Source organism: Homo sapiens, chromosome 6 (genome assembly GCF_000001405.40).
Source record: "Homo sapiens chromosome 6, GRCh38.p14 Primary Assembly".
Taxonomy (NCBI): Eukaryota; Metazoa; Chordata; class Mammalia; order Primates; family Hominidae; genus Homo; species Homo sapiens.
The window spans coordinates 38756909-38773321 of record NC_000006.12 but is presented as its reverse complement, the minus strand read 5'-3'; the positions used below and the strand labels follow the sequence as shown (position 1 = coordinate 38773321).

Below are 16413 nucleotides of genomic sequence, written 5' to 3'. Positions count from 1 at the left end.
CTACAAATTTCAAAGCGACACCCAGGTGGGCAAGGGTTCTGGCTCCAGGAAAATAGGGGTAGGGGTAACTGAGACCCACCTCCAGGTTTTTGCTCTAGTGGAGTCAGAACATTAAGCATCTTTGTCCTGACCAATGAGACCTATTTATTAATTTGACTTGTGCTAGTAGCCTAACTGAACATTTGCCCCCAAAAAAATCCCTATTGGCTGAGCACAGTGGCTCATGCCTATAATTCCAGCACTTTGGGAGGCTGAGGAAGGAGGACTGCTTGAGGCCAGGAGTTCAAGACCAGCTCATCAACATAGCAAGACCCCATCTCTACAAAAAAAAAAAAAAAAAAAAAAAAAAAGTTTAATTAGCTAGGCATGGTGGTATATGCTTGTAGTCCCAGCTACTCAGAAGGCTGAGGAGTTCAAGGCTGAAGTGAGCTATGATCATGCCACTGCACTCCAGCCTGAGTAACACAAACAGGACCCCATCTCAATTTTTTTAATTTAATAAATAAAAATGTTTAAAAAAATCTATTGTGCATAAAACAGCCCCACACAACACTTCCTTAGATATGACATTAAAAACACAAAGAAAACAAAAGAAAAACATGATAAATTGAACTTCATTAAAATTAAAAACTATCGTACTTCAAAGGACACCATCAAGAAAGTGAAAAGATAACCCAAAAATAAGAGAAAATACGTGTAAATCATATATCTGATAAGGAAGTTATACCCAGCATATATAAAGAACTCCTACAACTCAACAATAAAAAGACAAATAACTCAGTTAAATATATGCAAAGAATCTGAATAGATGTTTTTTAAAAGAAGATATACAAATGGGCAAAAGTACATCAAAATATGCTCCACATCATTAGCCCTCAGGGAAATGCAAATCAAAACTTCAATGAGATACCACTTCATACCCAGTAGAATGGCTAAATTCAAAAGGACAGATAATAACAAATGTTGGCAAGGATATGAAGAAATCATAAACCTCAGCTGGGCGTGGTGGCTCATGCCTGTAATCCCAGCACTTTGGGAGGTCGAGGTGGGTGGATCACAAGGTCAGAGGATCGAGACCATCCTGGTTAACACGGTGAAACCCTGTCTCTACTAAAAATACAAAAAATTAGCCGGGCGTAGTGGCGGGCACCTGTAGTCCCAGCTACTCGGGAGGCTGAGGCAGGAGAATGTCGTGAACCCGGGAGGTGGAGCTTGCAGTGAGCCGAGATCACGCCACTGCACTCTGGCCTGGGCGAAAGAGCAAAACTCCGTCTCAAAAAAAAAAAAAAAAAGAAATCATAAACCTCATACTTTGCTGTTAGAATGCAAAATGATGCAGCTACTTTGGCAAATAGTTGGGGTTATCAACAAAAAGTTAAACATGGATTTGCCATATGACCTAGCAATTCTACTTCTGCACATATACCCAAGAGAAATGACAACATATGCCCACACAAACTCTTGTACACAAATGTTCATAGCAACATTATTCATAATAGCCAAAAAGAGGAAATAATCCCAATGTTCATCAACTGATGAGTAGAAAAATAAACTGATATTATCCGTACAATGGAATATTCTTCAATGATGAATGGAATGAAGTTCTGAAAAATGGTATAATATAGATGAGCTTTGAAAACATTATGCTAAGTGAAAGTAGCCACAAAAGACCACATATTGTATGATTTCATTTATATAAAGTGTCCAGAAGAGGTACATCTATAGAGACAGAAAGTAGATTAGTGGTTGCTTAAAACTGGGGAGAGGAGAGAATGGGGTGTGACTGATAATGGACATAAGGTTTCTTTTAGTGGGAGTGAAAATGTTCTAAAATTAGATTGTGGTAATGATTGCACAACCCTGTTAATACACTAGAAAACATTGACTTGTACAGTTGTAAGTGGGTAAATAGTATATTAATTATGTCTCAATAAAGCTGTTAAAGAAACAAATTTAAAAAACAGCTTCAAAGAAGTATGTATGAAGGATCCCACTCAGCAACTTGGTTCTGTTCATTACTCATACTTTCCTGTCCTGGCTTGATCAGGAAGTTACTAATAAAAATAGGCTTCCAAACATGTCTAGGTCTTCAACCTATGTAATGTTCCGCATTACTTTCCAACAAATGATGAACAAGATTCTAAATACTAGCAGGATCCAGGGAATTAGCGAAGTTGGGGGAAGAATACCTAAATGAGATCTTTACAGACTTTTCAAAGGATGACTCCAAGAAGTCTCTGATATGGGCTGGCCTATATCCCCCAAAAAAATGTCACTCCTTCCCAACCAGTCCTAATAAATTAATCAAACCTATGTCTGTCCAGAAAAGATATCACCCGCACAATGTTTTTGTATACACCATATACACTGGCTCAGAAAGAGGACATGCTTATACATCCGGAGATTCCACAACTACTGACTTCTATCAGGCATTGCAGGTATTTCATCTCATACTTTTTCTCAGCCTAATATAACAGTTAAAAGCAGAGCCTTTTAAGTTGAAGTTTCATAGGTAGAGGTAAACTGAGGTCTTGAGAGATGTGAAAGTTGACCATAGCGTTTGTGTTACTGGCAGAAGGCAGTAACCAGGAATGAAAAAATAAGTTATAATAAAATGCAGTGACCTATAAGTAATATTAGACAAGTCATAACAATAGTGGACAAGAGATCAGGAACAATAATTCTCAATGGCACTACATAAAGTACAAAATCACCAAAAAGGTGTGGTGTGGAGTGGGGTACGATGACTGCATAATGCTTACCTTCTCCAGTCTTTTGCAAAAAGCTTCAAATTTTCCAAATATATACATTTCTGAAACCTCAAAAGATTTTTCCCCTGAGGATTCTGAAATCAGTTTCCTTGTTTTATGAAAAGATGCCTGATATTCCTTGAATAGAAAAATGCAGTCCTATGAGAAAAGTAAAAGAAATAGGGAAAAGAAAGTGAGACATTTGTTCAGGAATCGAAAATTCAAAAACTCTACCCTCACACAGAACTGATCAAACTGTGAAAATCTGTATAGTTTTTTTTTATTTATACCATATTTTCATCCTCATTTCAACCTCACTTTTATTCATCCTCATTGTTTTCCTTTAACTCTTATCCTACATCAAAGCATACCATATACTATTTGTTTTTACATTTTCATGACAATTAGAACTCCCAAGAGGTCCAGAAATTATCTATCAAGACATCTCTATTCAGTTCGCATCCATCTTAGAATCAGCATTCTTTATGCGCAGGTATATAAAATATGAAGTTTCTGTCATACGAAGCTATCATCTGACAATCATTTTTCCAAAAGAGGGTCATAAAGTCTTTGATGAGTACATTGCTGAAATCCTAATATTTGACTACAGATATACTGGTCTGGTTTGTGAACATAATAGAAATAAAAAAGAGAATAAGATTGCTGGGTAGAGTAGGAATTAACTATTATGTCAAGCTAACATTTCCTAAACACCAAATCTTTTTTGTTAATGTTAAACTTTTTTGAAACCATCAATACCCAGTCAAATCTTTATCATAACACCATTTCTCAGATTCTGACTCTTCTGCCTCCTCTTGCCCACATAAGAACCCTTAAACATTGGGCCCACTTGGGTAATCCCCATATCAGCTGATCAGCACTTTAATTCCATCTGCAACCTTAATCACCCCTTGCCATATGTAACATAACCTATGGATAGGTTCTGAGGATAAGCACACAGACATCTTTGGGGGCCGTTATTCTGCCCACTGCAGCCACTAAATCAGAATTTCTGCAAGTGGGACTTAGAAATCTATATTTTTAACTAGCTCTCCTATAGTGATTCCTATAAATATTCAGATCTGAGAATAATTGGCCTCATTCTTTCCTCTATCACAATCTCCAAAACAATTATCATTGCTCTCTTTGAGGTCTCTGATTATTTTTCACTCATTCAACAAAAATGAGCTGGCTTGGGAGGCTAGGGGAGGGATAGCATTAGAAGAAATACCTAATGTAGATGACGGGTTGGCAGGTGCAGCAAACCACCATGGCACGTGTATACCTATGTAACAAACCTGCACATTCTGCACATGTATCCCAGAACTTAAAGTATAATAAAAAAATTTTTTTAAATGAGTTGGCTCTGAATAACAGTTCTCAGATAAGATTCTGAGTAACAATTCTCATTGTTTCCTCCAACTCATCCAAAAATTATTCCTAAAAAGTATACACTGAAAGTTTCCTGAAAACATTTCAGATGTAATAGAAACATTGAACTAGAATTCAGAAAACCAAGTTCCCATTTCTAATTCAGTCAGTAAATGGCTAGTAATCTTTAGGACCTTAAAAGAATAATGAGACTACATTGCTAAATTCTATGTAAAGAGTTATGGTTCCTGCCAATTGGCAAATTTGGGGGGAGTAATTTCTGACTCCTATTCCCAAAAATAACAAGAGAAGCTCTAGAGGAAAACATGGAATCCTGCAAGTAGCAATAAAAACAACAGAAATGAGAAACTCCTAGGAAGATGATAAGTTGTTTTGAATCTGGGTATGAGGGGAGCAAGAATGATTAGGAAAACAGAAAGAAGATAAATAATATTAGTAAATAAGGAGACATCTTATATAGTAAGACAAAGTTTAGTAAGATAATATTATCAACAATAAGTCAATAAATTACAAATTTTAGACAAATTGGGGAAATTCCCCAAGAATATCAACTTACTAAAACTGACTCAAGAAGAAACAGAAAGTATAGTCAAATAGTTTTTTTTTTAATAAACAGGCCGGGTGTGGTGGCTCATGCCTGTAATCCCAGCACTTTGGGAGGCCAAGGCAGATGATGGCTTAAGCTCAGGAGTTTGAGACCACCTGGGCAACATAGCAAAACCTTGTCTCTACAAAAATAAAAAAATTACCCAAGCATGATGGCATGCACCCATGGTCCCAGCTACTTAGGAGGCAGAGGTAGGAGGAGCCCTTGAGCCCAGGAGGTCAAGGAGGCAGTGAACTTGATCAGGCTACTGCACTCCAGCCTGGGTGACAGAGTGAGGCTTTGTCTCAAAACGAACAAGCAAAATAAATAAATAGACAAATAAGCAATAGTGTATTTGCAAAGCATATATATGATAAGGAATTAATATCCAGAATATATAAAGAAATCCTACAACTCAACAACAACAACAACAAAAAACCCAAACAACCCAATTCAAAAATGGAGAAAGGGCCTGAGTAAATATTTCTCCAAAGATATACAAAGGGCCAATAAGCATATGAAAAGATGCTCAGCCATCACTAGCCACTAGGGAAAGCAAATCAAAACAACAATGAGATGTCACTTCACTCCATACACATTAGAATGGCTCTTATCAAAATAATAGAAAATAAAAAGTGTTGGCAAGGAGATGAAGAAATTGGAACCCTCCTGCATTGCTGGTGGAAATGTAAAATGGTGCAGCCACTGTGGAAAATTGTTTGGCAGGAACTCAAAAAGTTAAACATAGAATTACCATAAGACCCAACAATTTCCCTTCTAGGAATACACCCAGCAGAATTGAAAGCAGGGACTCAAACAGATACTTACACACCAAATGTTCATAGCCGCATTATTCACAATAGCCAAAAGGTAGTAACAAACCAAATGTGCATCAGCAGAGGAATGGATAAAAATATATGGACTATACATACAATGGAATATATTACTCAGCTATAAAGGGAATCAAATTCTGATACATGCTAGAACGTAGATGAAAATATTGCACAAAGTGAAATAAACCAGACACAAAAGAACAAATATTGTTTAATTCCACTTATTTGAGGTACCTAGAATAGGCAAATTCATAAAGAGAGACAGTAAATACAAGTTACTAGGGGCTAGGGCAGAGAGTTTGGGGAATTTTTTTTTTTTTCCTGAGATGGAGTTTTGTTCTTGTTGCCCAGGCTGGAGTGCAATGGTGCCATCTCGGCTCACTGCAATCTACGCCTCCCAGGTTCAAGTGATTCTCCTGCCTCAGCCTCCTGAGTAGCTGGGACTACAGGAGCCTGCCACCACACCCAGCTAATTTTTGTATTTTTAGTAGAGACGGTGTTTCACCATGTTGGCCAGGCTGGTCTTGAACTCCTAACCTCAGGTGATCTGCCCGCCTCAGCCTCCCAAAGTGCTGGGATTACAGGCGTGAGCCACCGCGTCTGGCCTGAGTTTGGGGAATTATTTAATGGCTACAGAGTTTCAGTTTAGAATGATGAAAAAGTTCTGAAATGGATAGCAGTGATGGTTGCAAAACACTGTGAATGTAGTTAATGCCACTGAACTGTATGGTTAAAATAGTAAATTTTATGCTATTTTTATCATAATTAAAAATTTTTAATTATACAAAAAGAGAAGCAGGAAATTAAAAATCTTTTCACAAAGAAAATGTCGATCCTAGATGCTTAACAGATGATTTCTATCAGACTTGCTTTTTGTTCAGTATTTCCAGTTTTATTTTTTTCCAGTTTTATTGAGGTATAATTGACAAATAAAAATTATATATATTTAAGGTATACAACATGATGTTTTGAAAGATGTATACATTGTGAAATGTTCCAAAATCAAGCTAATTAGCACATCCTCACTTCACATAGTTATTTTTTGGGGTGGGGGGTGTGAATTACTTTTTGGGGTTGGGGGTGTGACCTACTTTCTTAGCAAATGTCAAGTATACAATACATGGTGCATGCCTGTAGTCCCAGTGACTAGGGAGGCTGAGGTGGGAGGATGGCTTGAGCCCAGGAGGCGGAGGTTGCATTGAGCTGAGATGGCACCAATGCACTCCAGCCTGAGCAACAGAGCCAGACCTTGTCTCAAAAAACAAAAACAAAACAGTATTGTGTACTATAGTCATCATACAGTACATTACATCTCCAGAATTTATTCATCCTGCATAACTGAAAATTTGTACTCTTTCACCAATATCTCGTCATTGTGCCATCCCTCTCCAGCCCCTGGTAACCACCATTCTACTCTCCACTTCTAAGAGTTTGACTTTTTTAGATTCCACATAGAGGTGAAAAAAGGCAGTATTTGTCTTTGTGCCTGGCTTATTTCACTTAGCATAATGAAATAAAGTTCAGCCATGTTGTCAAAAATGACAATATTTCCTTCTTTGTAAAGACTGAATAATATTCCATTATATATATGTATCCATACACAAACACACACACACACACATACAAACACATACATATATACATACATACCCTATATACCCCATTTTCTTTATCCATTCATCTGTCAACAGGCACTTAGGTTGTTTCCACATCTTGGCTATTGTGAATAATGTTGCAATGAATATAAGAATGCAGATATCTCTTTGAGACAGTTATATCATTTCCTTTAAATATTTACCCAGAAATGAGATTGCTGGATCATATGGTAGTTCTATTTTTAATATTGGGGGGAACCTCTATACTATGTTTCATAATGGCTACACTAATTTACATTCCTACCAAGAGCATGCACATCCTCACCAACACTTGCTATCATTTGTCTTTTTCTGTAGTAGGCATTCTAACAAGTGTGAGCTGATATTTCATTGTGGTTTTTAATTTGCAAAGCTGGAGGCATCACACTGCCTGATTTTATACTGTAGTATATTTTTATATACTACCAAGCTATAGTAATCAAAACAGCATAGTACTGGCATAGAAACAGACACATAGACCAATGAAACAGAATGGAGAACCCAGAAATAAATCCATGCATTATGGTCAACTGATCTTTGACAAAGGTGCCAAGAACACACAATGAGGAAAGGGCAGTCTCTTCAATAAATGGTCTTAGGAAAACTGGATATCCACATGCAAAACAATAAAATTGAACCATCGTTTCATATGACATACAAAAGTCAACCTAAAGTGGATTAAACATGTAAAGATAAGACCTGAAACTGTAAAATTACTAGAGGAAAATGTCGGGGAAAAGCTACTTGGCAATGATTTTTTGGACGTGACCCCAAAAGTACAGGCAACAAAAACAAAAAAAACAAATGAGATTGTATCAAACTATAAAGCTTTTGCACAGAAAAGAAAACAGAGTGAAGAGACAACCTCTAGACTGGAAGACAGTATTTGCAAACCATATATCTAATAGAGGTTTATTCCCAAAATATATAAGGAACTCAAACAACTCAATAGGAAGAAAATAAATAACCTGATTTTAAAATGAGCAAATGAGGCCAGGCGCAGTGGCTTACGCCTGTGATCCCAACACTTTGGGAGGCTGAGGCAGGAGGATCACTTGAGGTCAGGAGTTCAAGACCAGCCTGGCCAACATGGTGAAACCCTTGTCTCTACTGAAAATACAAAAATTACCTGGGCATGGTGGCAGGCATCTGTAATCCCAGCTACTCAGGAGGCTGAAACCGGAGAATTGCTTGAACCTGGGAGGCAGAGGTTGCAGTGAGCCAAGACTGTGCCACTGCACTCCAGCCTGGGCAACAGAGCGAGACTCCGTCTCAAAAAAAAACATTTAAAAAATGGACAAAGGACCTCAAAAGACATTTCTCAAAAAAAAAACATACAAATAGCCAGCAGGCATTTGAAAAGGTGCTTAGCATCTCCAATTATCAGTTTTAGTTTTTAAATGCATACACAACAAAGACTGTCCATAAGTCATTTCTCGGCTCCATTTGCATTCAGCAGTTGCTCCTGGGCATTTCATTGCCTTTACCACCTCAACAACTTCCTTATATTGTTTCCTGAGGTCCTCTTTTGTCCTGCCAGGCACTGCTCCCTCTATTTTTCCTCATCTTCAGGTACATCTGAAGGAGGCCTACTTCATGTACTTGAGAGACTATTCCATGTTCTTTTAAAGGTTATCCAAAGCCTTTTTTGTCATCTTTTTTTTGTGAGGGTCAAGTTTTTAGAGGCTCAATTTTCTTTGCCAAAAAGTTCTCTTGACTCCAAAAAAAGAATGTGTGTTCATATAATTGGTAATAACTTCCCATATTGAATTTGTTCATGCAGAAAAGGGGCCTATGGCTTTAATTAGTAACTGCAGACCAATGCTCCTCTGACCAATTTTTACTGCCATTTCCACCTTCGACAGTTGATTTCTCTGCATTCTTAGATGCTTGTCACACACAAGCCTCCCCTTCCTCTTTCTCTGTTCTAATTGGCTCATTTATTTCTTCCGTTTTTAGGAGAGCAGCCATTCCTAGTGTTTTTGTAGATGAGGTATTTCACTGAAGTGCTATAAACTTGCTAGTTGAAGCCTATCACAAAGTTTTTCCACTTCTTCCACCTTTTTAAGCTGCTCCACTTATTGTCAGAAAAAGTGATTTCAGGTCTTCCTTGAATTTTGAAGGTTTGTCTTTTCCTTTTAACAACTCTTTTCTGGATATCTTTTCCCTTCTTTGCCAACAATGCTCCTTATTTAACTTCCTCTTCTTTCTCCTTAGCTATTCAAGCAGCTTCTAATTCAGCTTGTCTTTGTTTTTCTTTAGCCTCTCGCTTCTTCCATCTTGCTTCTTTCTCGGCTTTCTCTTCTTTTTTTAATGTTGAAACAGAGTCTTGCTCTCACCCAAGCTGGAGTGCAGTGGTGTGATCACGGCTCACCTCACTCAGCCTCAGCCTCCCAGGCTCAAGCAATTATCCTACCTCAGCCTCCCAAGTTGCTGGGACTACAGGTGCGCACCAACACACCTGGCTAAGTTTTTTGTAGAGACAGGGTTTCATCATGTTGCCCAGGCTGGTCTCGAACTCCTGGGCTCAAGGGATCCACCCGTCTTGGTCTCCCAAAGTGCAAGAATCACAGACATGAGCCACTATGCCTGGCCTTGGCTTTCTGTTCTTTGAATTTTTTTATCCTTGTATCACAGCTATGTGTATTATCAACTAATGTTTTCAATTCATTTCTTCTTTCTTTCTTTGAGCTCTTGTTGCTCTGTTCTTCTTTTCAATCCCTCTCTTGTCACAATATTCTGCTTTTTTTTCTTCTGTATTTAAATAAGAAAACTCTGTCCAAGCATAAAAACTATACCAGAAGGAATAAAATGATGAATTCATAACACCAGGTTTAGAAACTTTTTTTGGACCATCTGGAATTATTTTCGAATAGTGGGAAAAACACTTCAAAGAAACTATCCCTTGCTTCACTTTTAGAAGGAACTGAGTTTCCAAATGTATGATCTACACTGTTAAATGCTCCTCTTTTCACTGGGTCATACATTTTATAATTTCAGTGATGCAAGTGAAGTAGTCATTATCCCTTTCTTTTATTGGTTCACTGGCTGCTTTCCATGATGTTTTAAAACCACTACTTTATGAGCTGCTTTGATCTGTCTCTGTGTAGCTTTGTATCTTACATGGCTAAGTCCAAGAACTGCATAATGATCCTGATTCTTCCAGTCCTTGGGATCAACTGTTTTCAGCATGAGAAACACTAACTGCAATTCTTCCTCTTCTTATCCTCCAGTTCAGAGGTCAGAGCAAGGGTGATAGCAGTGCCCTGGCCAGGATGGCAGGTCAGCACCAGGCCTGTGGGAATAATGGTTCCCATCCTGGGTGGAGGGCACTGGGCCACTTTTCAAACTTGACCTCCCTGTTCAAGCCACACACCTTGGCACTACGAAGACCAGGGAACCTGCACACAGAGATGACCAATAACCACTTCCAGATGGAGCCTTCCTGCTGTGGCCATTTCTTTCAAACTTTCAATGAACAGGTCACTTTAATTTTATACAAACTTTTTCAGAAAATAGAAAATACTTCCCCCCACCCTCCATTTATTCTGAGACATTGATGCCAAAACACAGACAAGGTCAGCATAAGAAAGGAAAATTACAGGTTCTCTCTCTCACCAATACAGCTTCCAAAAATCCTAAACAAAACTGTAGCAAACTGAATTTGAGTGTTTTTTAAAAAGATAATTACACCACGACCAAGTTGAGTTTACCCAGAAACGTTAGGACAGTTTAATTTTAGAAAGTCTAAAAATGTCATCTATCACATTAACAGACTGAGGAGCAAAATTCTATAAGCATCTCAATAAATATATGCAGAAGAAAATTTTCCAAATCCCATTCATAACTTTAAAAAATATCTCTTGGTACTAAACTAATCTGATCAAAGATATATTTAAATCTTACAAAAGCATCCAACTAAATGGGGGAAACGTTAGAAACATTGTCTTCTAAACCAGGATCAAAATTAGGATGGCAACTACTACCATGTCTATTTAAGGATACATGGTAATCCTAACCAATGCAAAAAAAGGCAAAAATTTTAATTGTAACAGGCTGGAATGAGATGTAGGGGCCAGAGCGTATGAAATGGCACACAGGAGTCTAACACAGGCAGCCATGGAGGAGATGAGAATTAAATTTTACCCTCAGAGAAGCACTAAATATAAAGGGAAATAGATAATAAGAATTGTATTCTTTTTATATTCTCAACACTACTCTGTAGGAAGTTTTTTCAGTTAACATATTTTGTGAATAAACAAAGTAAAATTGGGCAGGATGGGAAAAGATTTAGTTTATGAAAATAAAAGTACTTCTACAAACCTGAATTTTCTTTAGTACAACTGGCGTTTCCTGATCCCATACATGGTTTAATCCTCCATCAGTAATATATGCTTTACATGCTGTTACCATTTGATTTGTTACCTGAAATAAATATAGGTACAAAATAATTATATGTAAAAAGAGAAATAACATTTATATATAAATTTCAAACCACAAGCATAAAAATATGATAAAGAATAAACCTATGGGCCAAGTGCAGTGGCTCATGCCTGTAATCCCAGTACTTTGGGAGGCCAAGGTGGGAGGGTAACTTGAGCCCAGAAGTTCAAAGCCAGCCTGGGAAACAGAATGAGACCCTGTCTCTAAAAATAAAAAATAATAATAATAACATTAAAAAAAAACTAGAGAACTTGAAATTGGAATTTTCATTGTCAGAATTTTAAAACAAATTCTATTGATGAACTGACCATCAATTGGTACAAAAATGAAGAGCAACACTCATAGGTGGGAACTGAACAATGAGAACACATGGACACAGGAAGGGGAACATCACACTCTGGGGACTGTTGTGGGGTGGGGGGAGGGGGGAGGGATAGCATTAGGAGATATACCTAATGCTAAATGACGAGTTAATGGGTGCAGCACACCAACATGGCACATGTATACATATGTAACAAACCTGCACATTGTGCACATGTACCCTAAAACTGAAAGTATAATAATAATAAAATTTAAAATAATAATAATAAATAAATAAAATACAATCCAAAAAAAAAATGAAGAGCAAATGAGTGAGCCAGAAAAGGGCAAAGATGGAAGAAAAAAATTAAGAGAAATGGAAGTTAGATGCAAGGGGAGAGAATAAATTGAATGGGTAGGTGTGTTAGTCCATTTACATTGCTATCAAGGAATACCTGAGAATGGGTAATTTATAGAGAAAAGAGGTTTATTTGGCTCACAGCTCTGTAGGCTGTACACGAAGCATAGCACCGGCATCTGCTTCTGATGACGACCCCAGGAAGCTTACAATCATGGTAGAAAGCAAAGTGGGAACTGGCCTCATATGAGAGCAAGCAAGAGAGAGATGCCAGGATCTTTTAAACAATCAGCTGTTGCATGAAGTCATTACCACAAGGAGGGCACCAAACCATTCATGAGGGATCCACCCCCATGGCCCAGACACTTCCTGCCAGGCCCCATCTCCAACACTGAGGATCACATTTCAACATGAGATTTGGAGGGGACAAATATCCAAACCATATCAGTGAGCTAGAAATAATCCCAGGCAAAAGAGGACTGTTTCTCAGGAATAAAGAGAAAGGAAAGTCTTTGGATTGAGACAACTCAGCAAGTGTAGAACAAGATAAATGTAAAAAAAAAAAGTTTGAGATTTTAGAAATTCAAAGATAAAGAAAAAAAATCCTAAAAGCTTCCTGGGAGAATAAAACTAGTTACCTACAAAGGAAACAAGAATCATATTAGCACCAAGCTTCTCCTCAACAATACTGAATACTAGACAATGATTGAGCAATATCTTCAACTTCCCAGGAGACAATGATGTCGAATTTAAAATCCAAGTCACACTAGCATTTGAGTGATCAGACAAAATGAAAGTGATTTTCAGACATGTAGAAATCCAGGAAGTTCACCACCCTGAAACCTCTCTGAAAGAATTTTTTCAGCAAAAGAAATAATGAATCCAAGAAGGAAAAAGATGTGGGAATCACAAAACAGTGGTGATAAATAAATTAGCAATACTTGGATTTTAGTCTGAATACTTGTTGATTCACAATGTTGAAAAAAATGTTAAGAATAATATGGAACTGTTAAAAAATTATTCAGTGATACTTGCAAAGCAAGAGACTTTATTCAGGACCATTGTGATAGGTATAGGGACCACTGCAATGGGATCTTGTAGCAGGAAAGAGAGATTGGGCTCAACTCTGAACACAGCATGGGCAAGCAGGAATGTATAGCCAAGGGGCAGGATGGGAGTCAGTGGGTGGAAAATTATTAAGAGGAAACATCAGAGGTAAGGGGGATTTTGGTTAAACTGACCTAACAGGATTCTTGCTGAAGACAGGCCAAAGTGATCAGACAACACCTGGGGGGTTGGGGGGAATGAAAACCTGATCAGATATCTAGAGTCATCAGATATCAAGAATGGGGGGTTCTTGCTAAACTGACTTAGCAGGGTTCTTTGCTCAAACTAGATTTCACTAGAAAGTGCAAAGGTGGGCCTACCAGAAGATTCAGAAGCCAAGCAAAGAATCATTGTCAGAACTAAAAATGATCTCAATGTGGGACATATATGGCAAGAATGAGAGAGACAGGTAAAGAGGAAGGATTCTGAGAGTCTTGTCGTATTTAGGACATAGTGATTAAGCCTATACTTTGCTTTTTAAAAAAACTTAAAATGTGACTATGACTTTATATATTTCGTTATGCTTGAATAATTTACAAATAAATTCTATTCATGTGGGTTTTTTCGTTGGTGGTGGTTTGTTTGTTTGTTTGTTTGTTTGTTTGTTTTTTGAGACAGGGTCTTTCTCTCTTGCCTAGGCTGGAGTGCCATGGTGTTATCACAGCTTACTGCATTCTTGAACTCCCAGGCTCAAGGGATCCTCCTGCCTCAGCCTCTGGAATAGCTAGGACTACAGGCACACACCACCATGCCCAGCTAACTTAAAAAAATTTTTTTTTGTAGAGCCAAGGTCTCTCTATGTTGCCCAGGTTGGTCTCAAACTCGTGAGCTCCAGCGATCCTCCCACCTCAGCCTCCCAAAGCGCTGGGATTACAGCCTGAACCACCATGCCTGGTCTCATGTGTTGCTTGAGTAATTTCTCAAATTATTTTAAAAAAGACCAATATCCCTGATGAACATGGATGCAAAAATCCTCAATAAAATACTGGCAAACCGAATCCAGCAGCACATCAAAAAGCTTATCCACCATGATCAAGTGGGCTTCATCCCTGGGATGCAAGGCTGGTTCAACGTACACAAATCAATAAACATAATCCAGCATATAAACAGAACCAAAGACAAAAACCACATGATTATCTCAACAGATGCAGATAAGGCCTTTGACAAAATTCAACAACCCTTCATGATAAAAACTCTCAATAAATTAGGTATTGATGGGATGTATCTCAAAATAATAAGAGCTATTTATGACAAACCCACAGCCAATATCATACTGAATAGACAAAAACTGGAAGCATTCCCTTTGAAAACTGGCACAAGACAGGGATGCCCTCTCTCACCACTCCTATTCAACATAGTGTTGGAAGTTCTGGCCAGGGCAATCGGGCAGGAGAAGGAAATAAAGGGCATTCAATTAGGAAAAGAGGAAGTCAAATTGTCCCTGTTTGCAGATGACATGATTGTATATCTAGAAAACCCCATCGTCTCAGCCCAAAATCTCCTTAAGCTGATAAGCAACTTCAGCAAAGTCTCAGGATACAAAATCAATGTGCAAAAATCACAAGCATTCTTATACACCAATAACAGACAAACAGAGAGCCAAATCATGAGTGAACTCCCATTCACAATTGCTTCAAAGAGAATAAAATACCTAGGAATCCAACTTACAAGGGATGTGAAGGACCTCTTCGAGGAGAACTACAAACCACTGCTCAAGGAAATAAAAGAAGATATAAACAAATGGAAGAACATTCCATGCTCATGGGTAGGAAGAATCAATATCGTGAAAATGGCCATACTGCCCAAGGTAATTTATAGATTCAGTGCCATCCCCATCAAGCTACCTATGACTTTCTTCATAGAATTGGAAAAAACTACTTTAAAGTTCATATGGCACCAAAAAAGAGCCCTGGCAAAAAATTGCCAAGTCAATCCTAAGCCAAAAGAACAAAGCTAGAGGCATCACGCTACCTGACTTCAAACTATACTACAAGGCTACAGTAACCAAAACAGCATGTACTGGCACCAAAACAGAGATATAGACCAATGGAACAGAACAGAGCCCTCAGAAATAATGCCGCATATCTACAACTATCTGATCTTTGACAAACCTGACAAAAACAAGAAATGGGGAAACGATTCCCTATTTAATAAATGGCACTGGGAAAACTGGCTAGCCATATGTAGAAAGCTGAAAATGGATCCCTTCCTTACACCTTATACAAAAATTAATTCAAGATGGATTAAAGACTTAAATGTTAGACCTAAAACCATAAAAACCCTAGAAGAAAACCTAGGCAATACCATTCAGAGCATAGGTATGGGCAAGGACTTCATGTCTAAAACACCAAAAGCAATGGCAACAGAAGCCAAAATTGACAAATGGGATCTAATTGAACTAAAGAGCTTCTGCACAGCAAAAGAAACTACCATCAGAGTGAACAGGCAACCTACAGAATGGGAGAAAATTTTTGCAATCTACTCATCTGACAAAGGGCTAATATCCAGAATCTACAATGAACTCAAACAAATTTACAAGAAAAAAACAAACAACCCCATCAAAAAGTGGGCAAAGGATATGAACAGACACTTCTCAAAAGAAGACATTTATGCAGCCAAAAGATACATGAAAAAATGCTCATCATCACTGGCCATCAGAGAAATGCAAATCAAAACCACAATGAGATACCATCTCACACCAGTTAGAATGGCGATCATTAAAAAGTCAGGAAACAACAGGTGCTGGAGAGGATGTGGAGAAATAGGAACACTTTTACACTGTTGGTGGGACTGTAAACTAGTTCAACCATTGTGGAAGTCAGTGTGGCGATTCCTCAGGGATCTAGAACTAGAAATACCATCTGACCCAGCAATCCCATTACTGGGTATATACCCAAAGGATTATAAATCATGCTGCTATAAAGACACATGCACACGTATGTTTATTGCGGCACTATTCACAATAGCAAAGACTTGGAACCAAGCCAAATGTCCAACAATGATAGACGGG

General features: G+C 38.0%; 1 protein-coding gene and 1 pseudogene across 10 annotated transcripts in view; both read right to left on the bottom strand.

The window, feature by feature from the left end:
* Positions 1–16413, bottom strand: part of DNAH8 (dynein axonemal heavy chain 8) — a 315482-nt gene that overhangs the window by 257471 nt on the left and 41598 nt on the right. For all 10 annotated transcript variants that reach the window (XR_926078.3, NM_001206927.2, XM_011514319.3 and 7 more), the window contains 2 exons: positions 11519–11620; positions 2763–2909 (listed from right to left, as the gene is read on the bottom strand). Coding sequence is in view for 9 of the 10 variants with exons in the window: in NM_001206927.2 (NP_001193856.1) it covers positions 2763–2909; positions 11519–11620 (249 nt within the window). In the remaining variant the exon portion in view is untranslated. The remainder of the gene's footprint in view (positions 1–2762; positions 2910–11518; positions 11621–16413) is intronic.
* Positions 9790–10565, bottom strand: DNAJC2P1 (DNAJC2 pseudogene 1; annotated as a pseudogene).